The sequence below is a fragment of the Homo sapiens genome, chromosome Y (genome assembly GCF_000001405.40).
Source record: "Homo sapiens chromosome Y, GRCh38.p14 Primary Assembly".
In the NCBI taxonomy this organism is placed as follows: Eukaryota; Metazoa; Chordata; class Mammalia; order Primates; family Hominidae; genus Homo; species Homo sapiens.
Genome location: NC_000024.10, coordinates 19,702,046 through 19,726,479, shown reverse-complemented (window position 1 = coordinate 19,726,479; position 24,434 = coordinate 19,702,046). Strand labels below are relative to the sequence as shown.

The following is a 24,434-nucleotide window of genomic DNA, read 5'->3' as shown; positions in this document are numbered from 1 at the left end:
TAGGAGTGAGCACATACGGTGTTTGTTCTTCTGTTCTTGTGTTAGTTTGCTGAGAATGCTATTACCAGCTTCATCCATGTCCCTGCAAAGGTCATGAACTCATCCTTTTTTATGATTGCAAAGTATTCCATGGTGTATATGTGCAACATTTTTTTAATCCAGTCTATCATTGATGGACATTTGGGTTGGTTCCAAGTCTTTGCTATTGTGAACAGTGCTGCATTAAACATACATTTGCATGTGTCTTTATAGTAGAATGATTTATAATCCTCTGGGTGTATACCCAGTAATGGGATTGCTGGGTCAAATGGTATTTCTAGTTCTAGATCCTTGAGGAATCGCCACATTGTCTTCCACAATGGTTGAACTAATTTATACTCCCACCAATATTGTAAAAGTGTTGTTTGTCCACATCCTCTCCAGCATCTGTTGTTTCCTGACTTTTTAATGATTGCCATTCTAACTGCCGTAAGATGGTATTTCATTGTGGTTTTGATTTGCATTTCCCTAATGACCAGTGATGATGAGCTCTTTTGAAATATATTTGTTGGCTGCATAAATGTCTTCTTTTGAGAAGTGTCTGTTCATATCTTTCGGTCACTTTTTCATGTTTTTTTTTTTATTCTTGTAAAGTTGTTTAAGTTCTTTGTAGATTCTTGATATTAGCCCTTTATCGGATGGATAGATAACAAAAATTTTCTCCCATTCTGTAGGTTCCTGGCCTGTCACCCTGATGATAGTTTCTTTTGCTGTGCACAAACTCTTTAGTTTAATTAGATCCCATTTGTTAATTTTGGCTTTTGTTGACATTGCTTTTGGTGTTTTAGACATGAAGTCTTTGTCCATGCCTATGTCCTGAATGGTATTGCCTAGGTTTTCTTCTAGGGTTTTTATGGTTTTAGGTCTCATGTTTAATTCTTTAAACCATCTTGAGTTAATTTTTGTATAAGGTGTAAGGAAGGGATCAAGTTTTAGCTTTCTGCATATGGCTAGCCAGTTTTCCCAACACCATTTATTAAGCCCATTGCTTGTTTGTGTCAGGTGTATTAAATATCAGATGGTTGTTGATGGGTGGTGTTATTTCTGAGGCCTCTCTTCTGTTCAGTTGGTCTGTATATCTGTTTTGGTACCAGTACCATGCTGTTTTTCTTGCTGTTGCCTTGTACTATAGTTTGAAGTCAGGTAGCTTGATGTCTCCAGCTTTGTTCTTTTGGCTTTGGATTGTCTCTTGGCTATGCAGGCTCTTTTTTCATTCTGTATGAAATTGAAAGTAGTTTGTTCCAGTTTTGTGAAGAAAGTCAGTGGTAGCTTGATGGGTATAGCATTGAATCTGTAAGTTACTTTGGGCAGTATGGCCATTTTCACGATATTGATTCTTCCTATTCATGAGCATGGAATGTTTCTCCATTTGTTTGTGTCCTCTCTGATTTCCTTGAGCAGTGCTTTGTAGTCCTCCTTGAGTAGGTCTTTCATATCCCTTGTAAGTTGTATTCTTAGGTATTTTATTATCTTTGTAGCAATAGTGAATGGGAGTTCACTCATGATTTGACTCTCTCTTTGTCTGTTATTGGTGTATAGGGATGCTTGTGATTTTGGCACATTGATTTTGTATCCTGATAAAGTTGCTTATCAGCTTAAGGAGATTTTGGGCTGAGACGATGGGGTTTTCTAAATATATAACCATGTCATCTGCAAACAGAGACAATTTGACTTCCTCTTTTCCTAATTGAATATTGTTTATTTCTTTCTCTTGCTTGATTGCCCTGGCCAGAACTTCCAATACTGTGTTGAATAAGAGTAGTGAGAGAGGGCATCCTTGTCTTATGCCAGTTTTCAGAAGGAATGCTTCCAGTTTTTGCCCATTCAGTATGACATTGGCTGTGGGTTTGTCATAAATAGCTGTTATTATTTTGAGATAATGTTCCATCAATACCTAATTTATTGAGAGTTTTTAGCAGGAAGGACTATTGAATTTTGTTGAAGGCCTTTTCTGAATCTATTGAGATAATCATGTGGTTTTTGTCATTGGTTCTGCTTACGTGATGGATTGTGTTTATTGATTTGTGTATGTTGAACCAGTCTTGTATCCCAGGGATGAAGCTGACTTGATCATTGTGGATAAGCTTTTATTTTAAGTTCAGGGGTACAAGTGTAGTTTTATTACATAGGTAAACTTGTGTCATGGGGATTTGTTGTACAGGTTATTTTATCACCCAGGTATTAAGCCTAGTACCCATTAGTTATTTTTCCTGATCGTGTCTCTCCCCCCACCCTCCAAACTCCAAAAGTCCCTTATGTGTCTGTGTATTCTCTCATCATTTAGCCCCTACTCATAAGAGAGAACATGCAGTGTTTGGTTTTCTGTTCCTGTGTTATTTTGCTAAGAATAATGGCCTCCAGCTCCATCCATGTCTTAGCAAAGGACATGATCTTTTTATATGCTTGTTGGCCACTTGTATATATTTTTAAGAGGAGTGTCTACTGATGTCCTTTGCCCATTTTTAATGGAGTGATTGTTTTTTGTTTGTTGATTTGTATAAGTTTGCTGTAGATTGTGAATGTCAGGATTTTATCAGATGTATAGCAAATATCTTCTCCATTCTATAGGTTGTTTATTCTGTTGACAGTTTCTTTTGCTGTGGGAAGCTCTTTCACTTAATTAGGTCCCACTTACCTATTTTTGTTGCATTTCCTCTTGGGGGCTTAGCCAAAAATTATTTGCCAAGGCCACTGTCGAGAAGACTGTTTCCCTAGGATTACTGTAGTTTGAGGTTTTATGTTTAAATAAATCTTTGGTTCATTCCAAGTTAATTTCTTTTGAGACACGATTTCTCTGTCACACATTCTGGCGTGCAGTAGCACAGTCATGACTCACCTTATTGCAGCCTAGAACTTCTGAGCTCAAACACCCCTCACACTTCAGCCTCCCTAGTAGCTGGGAGCTATCACAATAAAAGTTTTATAAAATAAGAAATTTTTACAAAGTTGTTATTTTTTACATTAGTAGCTATTATACTTTTTTAATATTTTTAAATTTTTTTTTTAGAGACAAAGTCTCACTGTGTTGACCAGGCTGATCTCAAGCTTCTGGGCTCAAGCAGTCCTCCCACCTTGGCCTCCCAAAGTGTTGGGATTACAGGTATAAGCCATCATACCTGGCCTTGAGTTACTTTTTGCACATGGTGAAGTATAGGTGTCCACCCTCAGTCTTCAGCATGTCGGTAGCCAGTTACTCCAGCACCATTTATTGAATAGGAAGCCCTTTCCCATTACTTACTTTTGTTGGCCTTGTCAAATAACAGATGGTAGTACGTGTCTGGCTTTATTTCTGAGTTTTCTGTTCTGTTCCATTGGTCTTTTTGTTGGTCTTTGTTACAGTACCATGCTGTTTTGGTTACTGTCGCTTCATATTATAGTTCAAAATTTGGGTAGTGTGATGTCTACATCTTTGTCTTTTGGCTTAGGTTGGCTTTGGCTAGTTGGGGCTCTTTTTTTAAGTTCCAAATACATTTTAGAATTTTTTTCAACTTCTGTGAAGAATGATGTTGATGGTTTGATAGAAATAGCGTTGAATCTGTAAATTGCTTTGGGTGGTATGGCCATTTTAATTATATTGAATCTTTCAATATATGGGCATGGAATGGTTTTCCATTTACCTGTGTTATCTCTGATCTTTTATAGCAGTGTTTTCTGGATTTTCTGGTAGAGATTTTTCACCTACTTGGTTAGCTGTATTTCATAGTATTTCATTTTCTTTATCTTTTGCTCATTTTTAATTAGTTTTTTTTTTTCCTATTGTATTTGTTCAGTTTCTTACGTTTTGGATATTAACCTTTTATCAGATGCATAGTTTGCAAATACATTTTTCCATTCTGTAGGTCGTTGCCTTATTCTGTTGATGTTTCCTTCATTATGCAGAAGCTTTTTAGCTTAATGTAATACCATTTGTCTGTTTTTGCTTTTGTTGCTTATACTTTTGAGGTCTTAATCCACAAAATTCTTGCCAAGATCAATGTCATGGAGCTTTCCTCTTATGTCTTCTTTTAGTAGTTTGATAATTTTGGATTTTACATATTTTACATTTAAGTTTTTACTTCCTTTGGGGTTGGTTTTTGTACATGGTGAAAGATGGGTCAAGTTTCATCCTTTTGCATGTGGATATCCAGGTTTTCCAACAATGGATACTGAAGAGACTTTCCTTTCCTCTCTGTGTGTTCTTGGTGTCTTTGTGGAACTTCTGTTGGCTGAAAATGCAGAGATTTATTTCTGGGCTATTATTTTCCATGGAGCTGTGTGTTTGTTTTTAATGGCAGTACTAAGCCCTTTTAGTTACTATAGCTTTGTGATATAATAGTAAATTAGTGTGAATACTCTCAGCTTTTTTGTTTGTTGGTTTGTTTTGTTTCACATATTGCTTTGGGTATTTTGAGTCTTTGGGGTTCCATATCAATTTAAGGGTTGCTTTTTTGAAAATTTCTGTGAAGGATGCTGTTATTTTTGACAGGGATTAAATTGAATTTCTAGATCAGTTTGGATAGTATGGACATTTTAGCAATATTAATTCTTGTGGTCTGTGAGGACAAGGTGTCTTAAAATTTCTTTGTGTGTTCTTCAGTTTACTTCATCATTATTTGTATAGTTTGCAGTGTAGTTATTTTTTTACCTCTTTAAATTTATTGCTAGAGATTTTTTTCAGCTGTTACAAATGAAGTTTTTATTTTGTTTTTTTCAGATAATTTTCTACTAATGTATACAAACACCACTGATTTTTATATTGATTTTGTATCCTGCAAATTTACTGAATTTGTTAGTTCTAACACCATTTTTACGGAGGCCTTAGCATCCTCTTAAAAAAGAAGTGTTTTCTTTAAGACTTTTTTATAAATCTTCAAACAGGGATAACATAACTTTCTCTTTTCCAATTTGAATGTTTTTTTAATTTCTTTTCCTGCCTCATTGCTCTGGCTGGGACCTCCGGCACTGTGTTAGTTGACAGTGGCAAAACAGGGCATTATTTTTGAGTTTACAATATGGACCTCTTGTGACCAGGAATACCAGAGGCAGCATGTTCTAAGACACAGTTGTCTTCTTATGTATGTTTTGCTCAGTTTGCCTCTCCTCATCGTATCCTACTCCCTACTCACTCTGGCAAATCTCTGACCCAACAGGAGTATGCGACCAGTGGTTGGAACCTGAATGTGATGCCAGTGCTAGATCAGTCTGTTCTCTGTCACATCAATGCAGACATCTCAGGCATGAAGGTGCCCTGGCTGTACGTGGGCATGGTTTTCTCAGCATTTTGTTGGCATATTGAGGATCACTGGAGTTACTCTATTAACTATCTGCATTGGTGAGCATGACCCCAATGGCTCAGTTGGATATCAAGACTGCCCTCATATGCAACGATGTATATAGACTTGACGTGTCTTCTGTCTACGTGAGCAGGGGTGAGCCGAAGACCTGGTATGGTGTACCCTCCCTGGCAGCAGAGCATTTGGAGGAGGTGATGAAGATGCTGACACCTGAGCTGTTTGATAGCCAGCCTGATCTCCTACACCAGCTTGTCACTCTCATGAATCCCAACACTTTGATGTCCCATGGTGTGCCAGTAAGTACCAAGGATCAAAACAATTTTAATTTTCTTCCCTGGGGTGAGAAGGGAATGAGAAAGAACTTAGTTTTGGAAGAAATAAAACCATATCCATTTTGCTATGGAGATTAGGCTTAGCATCACACCTCTTTGCCTTCCCTTGCTGACTTCAAGTTGCAGATCAGTACCGTTAGCTGGGACACTTAAGAGAACAAGTAAAAGAGAGATTAGATAATTACTTAACAGAATAGAAATTAAAACTTGGATCCTGGCCTTTTTATCTGCCTTCTAGTCTAGGATTGGTTTTCTCTTAATATTTCTGAATATAATTCTTACTTTGCAAAACCCAGGAGGGACTGGTTTCAGACTTTTGAGTATTTCTAGGAGTGGATTGTATCAGCTCATTTTGCTAAAGAATAAGCTAGCAATGTGTATGTGGTACATGGACTGGGTCACTGTCTTGTTACATGCTATGCCTTTTCTCCTTTGAAATTCTGTAAGCTTTGAGTTAACCGCTTTATAAGCTTTTATAACTTTCCTGGCCATCTTCCTCAGTTTTTTCATCTCAACAAAATGTGCTTCATGTCTCCAAAGGCCCTCTTCGTTTCCTGACATTTTATACATTTTATGAATTCTAACTTGTACCTTTTTTTTCCTAGTATTCCTCGTCTCACAAGAAAAATATATTGATGATAATGAGCTCATCAAGCAATCTAATTAACACCATTTGTCTTGCTTTCTGATTCTAGTTCTGAACTAACTATATTTTTTTTGTCTCTCGTGCTGTATATGTAATACTAACTTTTATATTTTTTTTATAGTTGCCTTTCTCAGGGGTATTACTTTCTTTATGTAGCTCTGAACTACTCAGTAATATCCTTTCATGTCAGCCTGAAGGAGTCCTTCTGTTTTCCCTGTAGGCACATCTTCTGGAGACATACTTCCACAATTTTTAATTCTCTGTCAATTTATTTAATTTTTTTTCCCATTGCATGACTTTTAACGTGTCATCCAACTGGCTTCTGGCCTCCGTTATTTCTAATGAGAAATCTATTGATAATTCTATTAAGCATCCATTATATGCGAAGAATCATGTCTGTCATACTGCTTTCAAACTCCATCTTGGTGTCTTACCTTTTGTTGGTTCGACTATGTTGTGTCTCCTGGAGTTTATCTAGTTGGAGTGCACTGAGCTTCTTGGTTGTAGACTTTCAGGGCTTTCCACAAATTTGGAAATTGTTTAACCATTTTTGCTTCAACTGTTCTGCCTTTTTCCTTCTCTTTTCTTACGAAATTCCCATTCTGCATATATGGGTGCACTTGATGGTGTTACACAGGTCTCTTAGGATCTGATTAATATTCTTCTCTTTTTACCCCCTGCTGATTTATTTCAATTGACATGTCTTAGAGTTTTCTGATTCTTTCTTCTGCCTGCTCAAAGCTCCTGTTGAAACCATCTTGTGAGTTTTTCACTTCTGCTATGGGACTGAGAGCTTCAGAATTTTGACTTGTTTCATTTTTGTAATTTTAGTGCCTTTCTTGAAACTCTTATTTGGAGGGACATTATTCTCCTGATACCCATTAGTCCTTTGTGTGTTGCTTCTTAAGGCATTTAAGCCTGTTTGAGAGTTGATAGACTTTAGTAAGTAAGTAAGCCTGGGCTATCTGAGAGCTTTTTTCTTTTAACCGAAGGGCTATACTTCTTTCTTTTTTTTTTTTTGAGACGGAGTCTCGCTCTGTCGCCCAGGCTGGAGTGCAGTGGTGGGATCTTGGCTCACTGCAAGCTCCGCCTCCCGGGTTCACGCCATTCTCCTGCCTCAGCCTCCCAAGTAGCTGGGACTACAGGCGCCCGCCACTACGCCCGGCTAATTTTTTGTATTTTTAGTAGAGACGGGGTTTCACCGTTTTAGCCGGGATGGTCTCGATCTCCTGACCTCGTGATCCGCCCGCCTCGGCCTCCCAAAGTGCTGGGATTACAGGCGTGAGCCACCGCGCCCGGCCAGGGCTATACTTCTTTTCTTTGTATGCCTACTAATGTTTTAAACTGAACACTTTTCAGAGTATTGCTTCAACTCTGAAAATCGTATTATCCCCCTTGTCTTCTCTCAAAAAATTTGTTGTTGCTTTTATGTACAATAGTTGTTGTTTGGTTAGTAAATTTTCTGAACTGGTTTTTTTGGGGGATATGTTTTAAAGGTGAAATTCACATAACACAAAACGAACCATCTTAAACCGAACAGTTTGGTCTCATTTAGTACATTCACAGTGTTGTGCAACCACCGTGTCTACTTAATTCTAAAACATTTTAATTTCTCCAGAAAAGTCTCAATACAATTTATTTCTCATTCATCCCTGCTTCTAACCTTGGACCACAGGTTTACTTTCTGTTTCTATGAATTTATTCTGCGTATTTCTTATAAATGGAATCATACAATATGTGATCTTTTGTATCTGACTTCTCAAAGTTCATCTGTGCTATGGCATGAGTCAGAGTTTTATTCCTTTTCCATGGCTGAATAATATTGCATTGTATGGACAGATCACATTCTACTTATCCATGGGTCTGTTAAAGCACATTTGTGTTGTTTCCACCACTAAGCTATTGTGAATATTTCTACTGTGAACATCTGTGTGCAAATATTTGTTCAAGTTCTTCCTTTCAGAGTTTTGGGTATATACCCAGAAGTGGTATTGGACAGTCATATGGTAGTTCTCTGTTTCAACTTTTTGAGGAACTTACTGCTTTCCATAGCAGTGTCATAGCCATTTTGCATTCTTACCAGCCATGCTCAAGGGTTCTAATATGTCTGCATTCTTGCCAACACTGTTATTTTCTACCTCTTTTTGTATGGCAAGAAATAGTATCTTGTGTGGCAAGAAATAGTATCTTGTGGTTTTGATTTGCATTTTCCTAACAACTAAAGATAGTGAGCAATTCTTTGTATACGTGAGTAATCTTTTAGTTTTATGTTCTTTTTCTGCTTTCTGTTAGCCTGTTGGTCATCTACCAACCTAACAAACTCTTTCTTAAGCCAAAACAATAATGATAATAACTAATAATAGTATTAACTACCCAGTCTTTGCAGATTGTGTCTGATTGGTGAAACTTTTTCGGGGCTACTTTAAAAACTATTTTAGACTCCACCTTCTGCTTCGGAAGAGCATGAAAGTCAGATAGAGGTGACGTTAGGGTCTTAGATCTTTTCTGAGCATGTATCTTGCCCTGGATGTTTAATGTGGCTTTCTCAGTTCTCAAATACTACGTGGAAGCTTTTTTAGAATCCCTTTTTCCCAAAATATCTCTTTCTCTAGGATTTGCCTCCCAGGCACTTAAAATTATCTGTTGTTTTTCTAGTCTCTCTCTTTCTCTCTCTCTCTCTCCTCCCCACCCCCACCACCCCATTTTAAAGCTGGAGGTGGCTGTGACTAATACGTTTGCTTTTTTATACTTTCCAAAAACACAGCCTGGGAAGTCTCCTGTCTTCTAAGCGAACTGTCAGGCAGGTGAAAGAAAATCAGGCCCTTGAGGTAGTCCTCCAGGAAGCCACCAGACAAGTCAAAACACACCACCTTAGTTCTTCGGGAAAAAGGTTCACATCATGGTTCCTGGCACCAATCAGCTGCACCAGCATCTCAGGTTGCTTTCCCACAGTAGCTGCTTACATAGGAATTGGGGCAAGTGTGTGTATGCAGGGAACTTAGTGCATTATAGCACTCTTGTACCACAATGTAAAAGCTTTTAAAAATCCATTAAGTGTTCTCCTGATTTGGGTTTTTTATTTTATTTTATTTTATTGCACTGCTCTGAACATTTCAGCACTAGATCATTGTTTGAGTAGAGGGACAAAGTTGTGGAGTTTCCAACTTCATCATTTTTGGTGACTTAATTCTATGACTTTAAAAATTTGCATTTCTTTGATTATAGAAGCAAAGAGTCTTTTCACTTGTTCGTGGACCCCTCTATATTTGTTTTTTGAATTACACATATTTTGAGTACTTTTCTATGAATACCACTTTTAAATTCACAATCTCATTTTTCTTTTAGGACACGTACTTGAAGATAGAGCCTTTCCACTCTTCCTACATCTGTTACAGCATCTAGAGACATCTTTGAGTTCACATCTGGCCCATTAGTTCTGACCCACACCTCTTTCTGCTTTTTTCTCCTTTTTAGGTTGTCCGCACAAACCAGTGTGCAGGGGAGTTTGTCATCACTTTTCCTCGTGCTTACCACAGTGGTTTTAACCAAGGCTACAATTTTGCTGAAGCTGTCAACTTTTGTACTGCTGACTGGGTGAGTGAGCATGCAGTGGGCCTGCAGGTAGAAAGTATAAAGAATATGGGTAAGGATTATTGTGGAGAAGCTATGCATTGTGGTCTCCAGATAGCCACACACAATCTTGAACGCACTTGCAGCTACCTGCTGGACGCCAGTGCATTGAACACTACCGCCGGCTCCGGCGCTATTGTGTCTTCTCCCACGAGGAGCTCATCTGCAAGATGGCTGCCTTCCCAGAGACGTTGGATCTCAATCTAGCAGTAGCTGTGCACAAGGAGATGTTCATTATGGTTCAGGAGGAGCGACGTCTACGAAAGGCCCTTTTGGAGAAGGTGGGTGGTCAAGAGCAGAGCTTAGGGATTTAGTCACATATATTACGTTACAGAGACACAGACCAACATTGAGTAACCACTGTGTGCCTGATCTTTAAGTCATGCATTTTGAAATGTAAAGACAGAGTCTGTATGTGTTTATATTTTTTCTTCCAATTTCTCTACAGCTTTCCTTACAAGGTTGAGTCCACATCAGGGCTCAGTGTTGGCTGAGGTGGGGTGTCCACAACCCTACTCCTAGTCTTTACAGTATATGTGGGTTGAACACCCCCAGGGCGTCACGGAGGCTGAGCGAGAGGCTTTTGAGCTGCTCCCAGATGATGAACGCCAGTGCATCAAGTGCAAGACCACGTGCTTCTTGTCAGCCCTGGCCTGCTACGACTGCCCAGATGGCCTTGTATGCCTTTCCCACATCAATGACCTCTGCAAGTGCTCTAGTAGCCGACAGTACCTCCGGTGAGCATGGGAACACTGTGGGGACGTGAAGGAGGTTTTAGAGCTGGGCCAGATGTGTACCCTTCCCGGCTTTCTTCCTCTAGGTATCGGTACACCTTGGATGAGCTCCCCACCATGCTGCATAAACTGAAGATTCGGGCTGAGTCTTTTGACACCTGGGCCAACAAAGTGCGAGTGGCCTTGGAGGTGGAGGATGGCCGTAAACGCAGTGAGTGACAGGAAATGGAAGGAACCCTTGTGTAAGCCTTATTTCTTTCTTTTGGGTATTCTCAACCTTCCTTTTCTGCTAACACTGCCTACCTGTTGCAACTTACACTCTCCAGGCTTTGAAGAGCTAAGGGCACTGGAGTCTGAGGCTCGTGAGAGGAGGTTTCCTAATAGTGAGCTGCTTCAGCGACTGAAGAACTGCCTGAGTGAGGTGGAGGCTTGTATTGCTCAAGTCCTGGGGCTGGTCAGTGGTCAGGTGGCCAGGTACGTGAGAGGAGAAGGCAAAGAAGGGTGTCAGTGTGTGAAAATGAATAACAAAAATGGATAGACTATAAACACACAATCCTGTTTGAGGCTGAGGCAGGAGAATTGTTTGAACCCAGGAGACAGAGGTTGCAGTGAGCCGAGATGGCATCATTGCACTCCAGCCTGGGCAGCAAGAGCAAAACTCCATCTCAAAACAACAGCAAAAAAAAAGAAGCACAGACTCAGATTTTACTGAGAAAGAGTAGATAACACATGGACAAAAAGCAGTATAATAGAAACTAGAAATTACTGAACTAAAGTTTCTAACAAAATAATGTGGCAATAAGATATAAATATATACTAGCAAAATTGCAGTTTTTTCCTACTTCTTAGGAAATCTCATAGCGTTATGCAGACATCGGAATTTCCACAAACTTTACTTTTGGCTGTGTAGTTAGGTAAAACTTCAGAGGTTAAAATAATCCTAGAAATTTATTTAACTGTTAGTTTCCAAATGTGTAAGACAATAGATACATATAGTTTTTAGATTGAAAAGTAAGTGATTATGTACAGTCAGGCATCACTTAATGATGGAGATGTGTTAGGAGAAAAGCGTCATTAGGCGGTTTTGTCATTGCTGCATACGCACCGTCTACTTACATAAACCTGGATGCTGTGACCTCCTACACACCTAGGCTGTGTGATAGAGCCTGTTGTTCCTAGCCTGCAAACCTGCACAGCGTGATACTGTACTGAATATTGTTGTCAGTTGTAACACTGGTGAGTATTTGTGTATCAAAATACGCAAATGTAGAATTACTACAATAAAAGAATTGTGGAAGACATAAAATATGGGGCACTTACCATGAATGAAACTTGCAAGACAGGAAGTTTCTCTGGGTGAGGAACCGACTGGTAAGAGAATGTGAAGACCTTGGACATGACTGTACACTACTGTAGACCTAATAAACGCTTTACACTTTGGCTTTGTTAAATTTATATAACGGTATCTTAAAAAGAGATAGTAAATTAGCCTCAGCTACTGTAAATTTTTAAAACTTTTTTTCAGGGTACATGTGCAGGTTTGTTATATAGGTACATTTGTGTCATGGGGGTTTGTTAACCCCATGTACATAGGGGTTTTATCACCCAGGTATTACATTCAGTACCCCTTAGTTATTTCTCCTGATCCTCTCTCTCCTCCCACCTTCTACTCGGTGATAGTCCCCAGTATGTGCTGTTCCCTCTATGCGTGCGTCCATGTGTTCTCATCATTTATCTTACACATATTAGTGAGAACATGTGGTATTTGATTTTCTCTTCCTGTGTTAGTTTGCTAAGGATAATGGCCTCCAGCTCCATCCATGTTTCTTCAAAGGGCATGATCCTGTTCTTGTAATATCTGCATTGTAATTCCATGGTGTATATGTACCAGTTTTTCTTTATCCAGTCTATCATTAATGGTCATTTAGGTTGATTTCATGTCTTTGCTTTTGTGAATGGTGCTACAGTGAACATAACACGTGCATATGTCTTCATGATAGAACAATTTATATACCTTTGGGTATATACCCAGTAATGGGTTAGCTGGGTCAAACGGTATTTCTGCCTCTAGATCTTTGAGGAATTGCCACACTGTCTTCCACAATGGTTGAACTAATTTTACACTCCCGCCAACCCTGTATAGCAGTTACTTTTTCTCCGCCACCTCACCAACACCTGCTATTTCCTGACTTTCATAATTGCCATTCTGACAGGTGTTATCAGGTGGTACCTCACTGTGGTTTTGTTTTGCATTTCTCTAATGATCACTGATGCTGAGCTTTTTTTCATATATCTGTTGGCTGCATGTATGTCTCCGTTTGAAAAGTGTCTGTTTATGTCCTTTGCCCACTTTGTAATGGGGTTGTTTTCTTCTTGTAAATTTGATTAGGTTCCTTTATAGATGCTGGATATTAGACCCTTGTCAGATGTATAATTTGCAGAAGCTTTCTCCCATTCTGTAGGTTGTCTGTTTACCCTGTGTGTAGACAGTTTCTTTGTACAGGAGCTCTTTAATTAGGACTCGTGTCAATTTTTGCTTTTGCCGCAGTTGCTTTTGGCGTCTCCATTGTGAAATCTTTGCCCATGCCTGTGTCCAGTTGTCTTCCAGGGCATTTATGGTTTCAGGTTTTAAATTTATGTCTTTAATCCATCTTGAACTGATGTTTGTATAAGGTACATGGCAGGGGTCCTGTTTCAGTTTTCTGCATATGGCTCAGCCAGATTTCTCAACAGGATATACTAATTAGGGAGTCCTTTCCCCATTGCTTGTTTTTGTCAGCTTTGTCAAAGATCAGATGGTTGTAGGTACGCATCCTCATTTCTGGGCTTTCTATCATGTTTCATTGGTCTATGAGTCTGTTTTTGTAAACTGTTTTTGTAAACATTTAATTTCTATTTGAATGTTTTACTCTTTTCTAATAATGGTTAGCTTAAAACACAAATGCATCATAGAGTTGTACAAAAATATTTTCTTTCCTCATATTGTCATTCTGTAAACTTTTCTGTGTAAACAATTTTTAAGTTTGTTTTCCATTTTAAACATTTTTGTTAAAATCTAAGATGTAAAGACACACATTGGCCTAGGCCTACACAGAGTCAGATTCTGAATGTTACCATCTTCCCCCATCTATATCTTATTTTAGTGGAAGGTCTTCAGGGCACTGACACACGTAGAAAGGGATCTGTTAAGATAACCATGCCACTTCCTGGAATACTTCCTGAAATACTTTTGAGGCTGCCTGACAGTTAACTTTTGTTTATAGTAGGAGTATATTCTAAAATAATAGTTTAGAAAAATGTGGTGTCAAGCATTAACCAGTATATGGCTGTTTGTTATCAGGTATTATGTGATGCATGTGCTAGACAGATTCTTACATGATGGACAGTGCATTGGGTTGTTTATATCAGCATCACCACAGACACATGAGGAATGTGTTGCTACTTTACAACTGCTACGATGTCAGCAGGTGATAGGAATGTTTCAGTACTGTTATAATCTTACAGGCCCACTATCATACATGTGATTTGTCATTGAAATGTCATGTGGTGCATGACAATGTTAAATCATGTATTTGTAGAAACTCTATATAAAAAATAATAAAGCTGTGTTAGTAGGAAGGAATTTTAGATAAACTACTCTATTTAAAAAAAATAAAGCTGTGTTAGTAGGAAGGAATTTTAGATAAAGAAGGGATTTTTTTGTCATTAGGTTTAAGGGTCAGAATAAAGGTATCAAGACTCTAAAGCAAGGGTATACATTTGAACCAGTTTCTACTTGAGAATATAAGTAATTTTTTCAAAAAACTTTAAGAAAACATAGAAAGATTTTGAAGTGGAGAAGTACATAGCAGAATGGATATTTGAAATTTATTATTTTGGGCCTATTTGGAGGATGGGTCCCACAGGATGTGGCATGGTCTGATTTAAATTAAATAAACTGATAAGGAAGCTTTTTAAATAGTCCATCACATAATTATTAGCCTGAGCTATAATTGAGATGCTAGATTGCCTTTTTGGCTTTTCTGTGCCACCTAGATATTCAATGACCCATGCTTACTTAGCTTAGTTTCTTATGTTTTGTCTTCATTCTCATGTCTGTCATATTTTAGAGACACATTATTTCAAATATTCTTTTTTTTTTTTTTGAGACGGGGTCTCACTCTGTCACCCTGGCTGGAGTGCAGTGGCACGATCTCAGCTCATTGCAAGCTCCACCTCCCGGGTTCAGGCCATTATCCTGCCTCAGCCTCCCAAGTAGCTGGGTCTACAGGTGTGTGCCACCACACCTGGCTAATTTTTTTGTATTTTTAGTAGAGATGGGGTTTCACCATGTTAGCCAGGATGGTTTCAATCTCCTCACCTTGTGATCTGCCTGCCTTGGCCTCCCAAAGTGCTGGGATTACAAGCATGAGCCACCGTGCCTGGCCCATTATTTCAGTATTTCCTACTTGTTCTTAACCTTTTTTCTCATTGCTGCCTCTCTTTAAAACATGGAAACTTAAAATTTTAGAATAAATTTCACTTTTCTGGATAACTCCTTTCCCTACTGTGGTTCAGGAGAAATAAGGCTTTTCCAGATTGAACCCATGATACCCAAATAACATGCCCTGCATTTCCATTTTAATCTGCCTCAAGTTTTCCTCATGCATTTAACTTCCTGGCCTCTTCAGTTTTCTTTGTCTTGTAGGCAGTTGGAACCAAAGAGTAAATCTCAGAAGTTGTCATCCTGTAGTACTATTTTGCTTCTGACATAATGAACTCTCATTTCTTGTCTAGAATAAATTTATTATTCTGACCATACTTATCATCACTTAGCCCTCCTTTCTTCGTAATCCTCCCATTGCATTTGTACTTCAGTTTCTGGCTTAATAGATGTTTTGTCTCACTGTGAAAGCTACTACTTCTGAATCCTAATGGCTGTTTTTACATCTCTTCCTCATTCTTTAACTCTTAACTGGATGACTGATGAAAATATAACTTAAACCATCCAGGGGCCTTTTCACATGTTTCTTTTCTCTTGCCCCACCTATTTGTATTTATTTCTGTTCTTCTGTGGAATGGTACTAGCCAGGTAGTACCGTGGTGGCATGGTATTAGTAGCCATAGTGGTAGCAGATTAATACTGTTAACGTTTTCTCAGGAAGCTGGACTCTCTGACTTTGATATCTGTAGTCTCTATTAACTGCTGTCAAACGCCTACGGGTGTTTTTTCAAATCTTAACTTGTCAGTATCGCTGAACTTAGAAAAAAACCTTTGTGGGTATTACTGAAATATGAAAGGGAAGGAAGTATATTAAAAGTCTCAAATTGTTTGAAATGTGACATTACGAGGTGTTCCTTCTGGCTCCTATAGGATGGACACTCCACAGCTGACCTTGACTGAACTCCGGGTCCTTCTTGAGCAGATGGGCAGCCTGCCCTGTGCCATGCATCAGATTGGGGATGTCAAGGTAAGGAGGGGCCTGGAAAGGTGGAATTCTTGTTAACAGCAAATACTCAGGAAGTCTGACATGTCAGGAAAACTTGAGAACCTAATTATTCTAAACAACCTTCTCATAATAACAGGTTCTTTCCTGGAAGTGGCGGAGATATGTGTTCCCATACCATCTCTGTGTGTACAGCATGCAAGGAAATATCCTTCCAGACTGAAATAATTAAAAACTCTAAACTGGGCCTACATAAGACACTGGCTCTTGGGAATGGGGTGGAGAGGACTGATTGGTTGGTTGGTTGATTTCCCTCCAGACACCAGAGTCTTAGAAAGCTTACTAGATGGATAAGATTGTATTAAAGTGGGTTTGGAAAAAGAAATTTAGGTAATTAAAGGAGAAAAATGTCATTCTAGGTAAACAGAGGGCCTTTGTTATTATCAGATAGATCATGTTTTAGGATGTGGTTGAGAATAAGTATTAAGCAATAGGAAATGCCTATAAGAGAAGATGAGAAGTGGAGCAAATCTAGGTGGTTGAGTATTTATGTGGCTAAAGAATCTGCATTTTATCCTATGTCCTTGCAGGATGTCCTGGAACAGGTGGAGGCCTATCAAGCTGAGGCTCGTGAGGCTCTGGCCACACTGCCCTCTAGTCCAGGGCTATTGCGGTCCCTGTTGGAGAGGGGGCAGCAGCTGGGTGTAGAGGTGCCTGAAGCCCATCAGCTTCAGCAGCAGGTGGAGCAGGCGCAATGGCTAGATGAAGTGAAGCAGGCCCTGGCCCCTTCTGCTCACAGGGGCTCTCTGGTCATCATGCAGGGGCTTTTGGTTATGGGTGCCAAGATAGCCTCCAGCCCTTCTGTGGACAAGGCCCGGGCTGAGCTGCAAGAACTACTGACCATTGCAGAGCGCTGGGAAGAAAAGGCTCATTTCTGCCTGGAGGCCAGGTGGGGCGTAGTCTCTCCCTGTCTGTATCTTGACTATAATCCTCAAAGTTTTGGGGTGACCCTAAGTATTTCTATGGTGACCCTTGGGCAACAGACTCCCAGTTGGGCATCTACTAAACTCTAAAGGATTGGCATGACATATCATGTACTCCCATCTATATGACATGTCATGTTGATGTTTCACTGTTGTAAAGGCAACAATTGGGGAAATGTTCTTGGATGACTTAGTTCTCAGGTGAATGGATGCAGCATGTGACTTACAAGAGATCTATATAGCCCCCTGCAATGTTAGAGAGTTCCTCAGTGTGGCTTCCTTACTTTGTCATGCAACACTTTTTATTGCTTATGTTTTTAGCAAGGAAACCTAGGACTTAGAAAAGGGGCATGTATACCTGTAACATGTAATGATAGATTTCTCTTTTTCAAAAAAAATTTAGGCAGAAGCATCCACCAGCCACATTGGAAGCCATAATTCGTGAGACAGAAAACATCCCTGTTCACCTGCCTAACATCCAGGCTCTCAAAGAAGCTCTGACTAAGGCACAAGCTTGGATTGCTGATGTGGATGAGATCCAAGTGAGGATCAGTATTTCTGCTTTACTGCGTCAGGCCAGCAGTTAGAAGAGAGATAGATATACTTTATAGTTTTTACTCGGTTGGGTTGTGCTAGAAAGTGAAGGTGGGAAGTTGGAGGATTCCTTGAGGTACCTGAGCGTGTCAGAATAGGAACCAAGGGAAGAGAAGCATGAATATGGGTGTATACCTAAGCAGAGACTATTGATATATAGAAGTGTACAGAGGAAGCAGGTTACAACAGAGTAACTTGCATATGTGGAATTTTTGGTCTGAGCCAATTAAAGTAGGAGTTCTGAGAGAAAAGAGTTTCTATCACATTTTTCTGTTGCAGAAAACATCTCCAGATTTTCAGCCCTGGGATTATGCAGTATAATACCCAGTATTACTTAGGACAAATTTAGACACAATATTGTTGACATAATTTAAATAAAGTTTCTTTCCCCTATTCCAGAATGGTGACCACTACCCCTGTCTAGATGACTTGGAGGGCCTGGTGGCTGTGGGCCGGGACCTGCCTGTGGGGCTGGAAGAGCTGAGACAGCTAGAGCTGCAGGTATTGACAGCACATTCCTGGAGAGAGAAGGCCTCCAAGACCTTTCTCAAGAAGAATTCTTGCTACACACTGCTTGAGGTGAGGTCTGAGACCCTGACCCACAGCCTCTTCTTCATCTGGCCTGGCTGCTGTGAGATGGCGCATATAATGAGAACATAGATTTTTTTAGTGGGCACCTGGGTAGGAAGGAGAGGGTGTAGTTGGTGAGGGAAGCCTGGTCATTTCCTGTATGTCTGCCTGCCTGCCTCAGGTGCTTTGCCCGTGTGCAGACGCTGGCTCAGACAGCACCAAGCGTAGCCGGTGGATGGAGAAGGCGCTGGGGTTGTACCAGTGTGACACAGAGCTGCTGGGGCTGTCTGCACAGGACCTCAGAGACCCAGGCTCTGTGGTAAGGAGCATGGCCCAGATGGGGAAAAGATGGGTTCTGGGTTTCTCTCTGAAAAGAGGAGAGCTGCTGATGATAGGGTGTCTGAGCCCTGTTACAGGTCTCCTGGTTTGGGAGCTGGGCATTAGGATGCCAGACAAGGGCGAGGGTGGACTGCTGACCTACTTTCCCCCTCTTCTGGATATGGCAGATTGTGGCCTTCAAGGAAGGGGAACAGAAGGAGAAGGAGGGTATCCTGCAGCTGCGTCGCACCAACTCAGCCAAGCCCAGTCCACTGGCACCATCCCTCATGGCCTCTTCTCCGACTTCTATCTGTGTGTGTGGGCAGGTGCCAGCTGGGGTGGGAGTTCTGCAGTGTGACCTGTGTCAGGACTGGTTCCATGGGCAGTGTGTGTCAGTGCCCCATCTCCTCACCTCTCCAAAGCCCAGTCTCACTTCATCTCCACTGCTAGCCTGGTGGGAATGGGACACAAAATTCCTGTGTCCACTGTGTATGCGCTCACGACGGCCACGCCTAGAGACAATCCTAGCCTTGCTGGTTGCCCTGCAGAGGCTGCCCGTGCGGCTGCCTGAGGGTGAGGCCCTTCAGTGTCTCACAGAGAGGGCCATTGGCTGGCAAGACCGTGCCAGAAAGGCTCTGGCCTCTGAAGATGTGACTGCTCTGTTGCGACAGCTGGCTGAGCTTCGCCAACAGCTACAGGCCAAACCCAGACCAGAGGAGGCCTCAGTCTACACTTCAGCCACTGCCTGTGACCCTATCAGAGAAGGCAGTGGCAACAATATTTCTAAGGTGAGCTTTCCAGGCCAGCCATTGTCCTCATATTTCTGTCTTCTAGCCCCTGTCCTTCTTGTAGCTCCAGTCTTGTCCCTGTTCCCCAGTTTTCAATCTCCTTTGGCCTAGTCCCTTTGCTCCATTCTATACCTATCCAGATCCCTAAACTCTGATCCCTGTTGGAAGCCTGTGTCTACTCTGCTTCAGGAGATAGAGGCTCCCAAGTTTTGGAGTTGTGGGAGGAAAGATAGGACCTGGTTCATCAGCTCAATTATTGTTACCCATTCTTTTTTTCCGATAGGTCCAAGGGCTGCTGGAGAATGGAGACAGTGTGACCAGTCCTGAGAACATGGCTCCAGGAAAGGGCTCTGGTAAGACAGGTGTGGTTTGGGTAGGCTGTTGGCTAAACATAACTGAGTGACCCATGTATTTGTCACCTCTGTTGTGGCCATGGAGGATAAGACCAAGAGTGGCCTCTAACCCAGTCTGTCCCTGCACCTTTCACCGCACCACCTTCCGCCCAGACCTGGAGCTACTGTCCTCACTGTTGCCGCAGTTGACTGGCCCTGTGTTGGAGCTGCCTGAGGCAATCCGGGCTCCCCTGGAGGAGCTCATGATGGAAGGGGACCTGCTTGAGGTGACCCTGGATGAGAACCACAGCATCTGGCAGCTGCTGCAGGCTGGACAGCCTCCAGACCTGGACAGAATTCGCACACTTCTGGAGGTAGGAAGCGGGGTCACAGGCAGGGCAGGAGATCAGGTCCAGCAGGCAGGGATCCCAGTACTGACGTTTTTCGCCTTGTGTGGGTATGATTGCAGCTGGAAAAATTTGAACATCAAGGGAGTCGGACAAGGAGCCGGGCTCTGGAGAGGCGACGGCGGCGGCAGAAGGTGGATCAGGGTAGAAACGTTGAGAATCTTGTTCAACAGGAGCTTCAGTCAAAAAGGGCTCGGAGCTCAGGGATTATGTCTCAGGTGGGCCGAGAAGAAGAACATTATCAGGAGAAAGCAGACCGTGAAAATATGTTCCTGACACCTTCCACAGACCACAGCCCTTTCTTGAAAGGAAACCAAAATAGCTTACAACACAAGGATTCAGGCTCTTCAGCTGCTTGTCCTTCTTTAATGCCTTTGCTACAACTCTCCTACTCTGATGAGCAACAGTTGTGACAGTGGCACCAAAGGTCATTTGTGGTTGTTTTTGTTTGTTTGTTTCTTAAATCCTACTATCTCCTGGCCTGGACCTCAGAAGGAGCTTTTTGCTTATCTATAATTTTTCACTGCCAATTTTTGATATCCTCTCTCCTAGAGTTACTGTTAAAAGGTTGGTTCGTAAAGTCCACACCCCGATGCTCAGAAGTGTCTTGCCAGCAACATTCCTGCTAGCATACAGGAGTGATTTCCTAAACCAGTTTCATTCTAGTCTGAATAGGGACAAACAAATCTTGAGGAAGCCCAAGTGCGTACCTTTATTTTTGCCCCCACCACCCTCTTTCTGTACTTCAATTTTTGTTTGTTTTTTGTTTTTTTGTCCCTGTCATAAAATATTTTGGTGCTTCAAAACTTGTACCTTCATTGTACATCCTTTTCTTTTCTCCCCTTGGGTCTTATTATAAAAGAAGACAATGTACGTTGTAATTACCAAAAAGAATAGGGAAAAACAAGAATTTCATGACTCTACCTGTGGTCTATCTTTAATTTCATTTCTTTTGTTAAAAATAAAACAATGAGTATGTTTGGATACTATGAATATGATTTGAACTTCTTAAATTGTACGAGTGAAGGACTGAGGTTAGGAAACAACAGTAGCATGGGTCAACGTAATTTTTAATAGTCTTTTTCGGGGCAGTGGGGAAGGGTAAATTTTACTTAGAAAACATACATGAGACTTAGGCCAAGGTTAATGTTTTCTCAAAGGATGTCCAGTTGACCCAGCACCAGCAATAGAAAACTTACCTGTCCTACACTTAATTGCTTTGTGCTTTTTATTGAAAATCTGTTGGCTGGACTTGCATGTGCCAATATCTGAGTTAACTTGTTGCATTGCATCATTTAACTATGTGTCTGTCCCCTGTGGCCAGATCACAATGTCTTGGTTACAGTCGCTTTATAATAAGTCTTACATCAGGGTAGACAGATTCATCTCACTTTTTTGTTTTTCAGATTGTTTTAGCAAGTTAAGTCACCAGCTCTCTTTTTCATTATGTAGTAGCTTTTGTGTCCTAAATCTGATTAAGTTGCACTGACACAAGTTATCTCCCTCAATATTTTCTGTTCTTTCAACTGGTGAATACAATAGCTAATCTAAATCATTTGTTGTAAGAATTCAGTAGGATTGATGTGTAAATATTTCAGGTAAAACCACTCTATTAGTATACCACTAATTCAATTCACGGTTCTTGTTTTGTGTGTCTCTGGGTGATCTAATAATACAGACTGTATTATACTTCTTTTAATCCCTTTAAAGGTGAACGCATTCTGTCATCCTGGATTGAATCTCTCGCTTTTCCACCTACTCCTTGCTGACTTGAGTCAGTGTAGAACACGTTATTACCCATAGCATTTCTCATGCCTATAATCATACCTACCTTCCTTATTGTCTACTCTTTTCACCTCTTTCTTTCTTTGATACTGTCATAGGGAACTATAATTAGCTTTCCCAGTAACAAAGCTATGCTTGGTGATGACCTAGTAGAGTAGAAATTGCTTCACCTGTCCAAGTACAGTGTACTTTACCTTACCACACCATAGGGACCAGGTAAAATATATAGAAAATCCTGAGATAATTTATCTAAATCTGAGAATTGTCTTCGAAATTTCTTTTTTCTCCTCTTCCATAAATAGGAGGAAAGTCATGATTCTCAAGCCATTACAGATTCTCTGACACTTGTTAACGGAAAATTCTGATGAGGCATGATGAGAACTTCTGCCTATAAAAATCTCACTAAAGTTCTGAGTCACAAATTGTTCACATACTTCACAGTAAGCAGGCAATCCAATGTCAGGACAGTTGTACACCTTTCTTAGGTTGCCTCCCCTAATTGGGGCTGTATTTGACATGAGGGGCCAGTTTTGACACTTTTTAAAACCATACACAAGGATGCAGCACTAAGTTTTTGCACATAGGCAAGAATTTATCTTGTGATTAGAAGTTAGTTATATGTTCATTAAGAAACATGACGAAATCTGCAGCAAAAATTGAATTTCATAGGCCATTCAGTGTTCTCTGCGATAATTCTAATTCAGAAAAAAATTGAATCTTGGTTTAAAAAAATTGTAATAAAACTTTACCACTGGTAAGCCAGCTGTCTTGGTCTCTTCTGCTGTGAGAAAAAAATATATCAGACTGGGCAATTTATAAACTTAAATATATTGCTCACAGTTCACGTTGTAAACATACACAGCATAAACTTCTGGAGGGACCTGCGCCATACCTGGGCCCATTTCAGCCACAGCTAATAGAGCCAAGGAGTGCTGCACCAGAATTTCGGAAATCAAGGTTTAGGGTGGTACTGTGCAGTGAGCCCCACGTCCAAGGGCACTTTGGGCCTCCCCTTTAAAACTGTCAACTTTCAAGACCCTAACTAACACTCTGGGCCTGTGATGGGTATGACATCAAAGAACTCCAAAATATTTTATGGTAATTCTTGTTAGGATGAATACCATCTGACTCCCTTATGTCTGCTAATCTTAACAAAATGTTCCCATGGACACACGCCTATTTTCTCCTGAACACGCTTTTTCATTCTTAACATGGCCCAGCTGAGAACTTTCCAAATCTTTAAGTTCTGCTTCTTTTTCAGTTACAAATTTGATCTTTAATTTATTTCTCCTCACATTTTACTGTAAGCAATCATGAGAACCATGCCACACCCTTAACCCTTTGCTTAGTTACTTCTTCCACATGTGTTAGTTTCATCACTGTTCATTTCTGCCCTTCAGAAACACTAGGACACAAAACTCTGCCAAGTTCATTGCCACTTTCTAACCAGGATGGCCTTTCTCCAGTTTCCAATAAGATAATCTTTATTCATCTAACATGCCATCAGATTTTTTTCTTCACCCAGTTTTTTATTTTGAAAAGTTTCAAGATTTCATAATTTGAACAGGACAATGAACATCTCTGTCCTTCACATAGATGTACCAGTTAATATTCTGTGCCCATGGACTCACTTCTCTCTCTCTCTCACTCTCTTTCTCTCTCCCTCTTACATGCATGAACACACACACATAACACACACACACATTTTTTGATGAACCATTTGTAAGGAAGTTCCAAAAACCATGTAATTCACTCCTAACTTCTTAATTATCTCCTAAGAACAAGAACATTCTCCTACCTGTTTTCATTCATCCTCAAGATAATGATGTTCAGCTCGCAGATGCTATGATTCTCATAAGCCAGTAAGAAAAATGGTGTCTGTTTTCCCTGTAACACAGGATTCACTCAATGGAATTAATTCTACTCTGCCTACTTCACAGGGTGCATTGCCAGAGGTCTGCTCTCTGTAAGCCTCTCGAAGAATAGGAAAGTATTTCTGCCCTCCAAAAGCTTACAGTGCTGTGGAAAATGTTGGCAAATCAGATGAAATAATACATATGCAAGTACTTAAGTTTTATCAACTTTTAATGCCATTATATACATGAAAGACACTATTTTTCTCTCTATTTTCTCTCAAAGAAAATGGGATTTAGGAAAATGGGAAAGCATCAAAAAACATCAGAGGGACTGTAGTAGCATTTGGAAAACAATGACAGTTTTTTTAAGATATTCAAAGGCATAGTATGTCTTAAAACTATTATTTTTTTCTTATCAGAGGAATATAATGTGATTGTACTGCCTTGTAATTTCAAGTATTGTGCACCCTATTAACTGGTGTTCTTTTTTTAAAATATTTATTTCTCTGCATATAACCTTGCTTTTTTCCTTCAACTTTTAAGTTCTGGGGTACATGTACAGGATGTGCACGTTTGTTACATAGGTAAACATGTGCCATGGCGGTTTGCAGCACACATCGTTCCATCACCTGGGTATTAAGGCCTGCATGCATTAATTCCTCCTGATGCTCTCCCTCCCTGATGCCGGAACCCCTTGCACTGACAGGTCCCCATGTGTGTT

The 24,434-nt window shown here is 40.5% G+C and overlaps 1 protein-coding gene across 14 annotated transcripts in view; it reads left to right on the top strand.

The window, feature by feature from the left end:
* The window catches only part of KDM5D (lysine demethylase 5D), a 40,862-nt gene extending 18,247 nt beyond the window's left edge, over window positions 1–22,615 (top strand). For 3 of the 14 annotated variants that reach the window (NM_001146706.2, XM_005262560.4, NM_004653.5), the window contains 16 exons: window positions 5,169–5,350; window positions 5,446–5,608; window positions 9,765–9,884; window positions 10,007–10,201; window positions 10,476–10,657; window positions 10,741–10,865; window positions 10,981–11,128; window positions 16,008–16,104; window positions 16,671–17,029; window positions 17,467–17,605; window positions 18,057–18,236; window positions 18,409–18,546; window positions 18,734–19,333; window positions 19,617–19,686; window positions 19,840–20,039; window positions 20,135–22,615. In NM_001146706.2, coding sequence (NP_001140178.1) covers window positions 5,169–5,350; window positions 5,446–5,608; window positions 9,765–9,884; window positions 10,007–10,201; window positions 10,476–10,657; window positions 10,741–10,865; window positions 10,981–11,128; window positions 16,008–16,104; window positions 16,671–17,029; window positions 17,467–17,605; window positions 18,057–18,236; window positions 18,409–18,546; window positions 18,734–19,333; window positions 19,617–19,686; window positions 19,840–20,039; window positions 20,135–20,485 — 3,249 coding nt within the window. In that variant the 3' untranslated portion in view covers window positions 20,486–22,615. Of the gene's footprint in view, window positions 1–3,046; window positions 3,140–5,168; window positions 5,351–5,445; window positions 5,609–9,764; window positions 9,885–10,006; window positions 10,202–10,368; window positions 10,382–10,475; window positions 10,658–10,740; window positions 10,897–10,980; window positions 11,129–16,007; window positions 16,105–16,219; window positions 17,030–17,466; window positions 17,606–18,056; window positions 18,237–18,408; window positions 18,547–18,733; window positions 19,334–19,616; window positions 19,687–19,839; window positions 20,040–20,134 lie in introns of those variants that run through there. The other 11 variants (XM_047442766.1, XM_047442764.1, XM_047442765.1 and 8 more) reach the window with 8 other exon arrangements.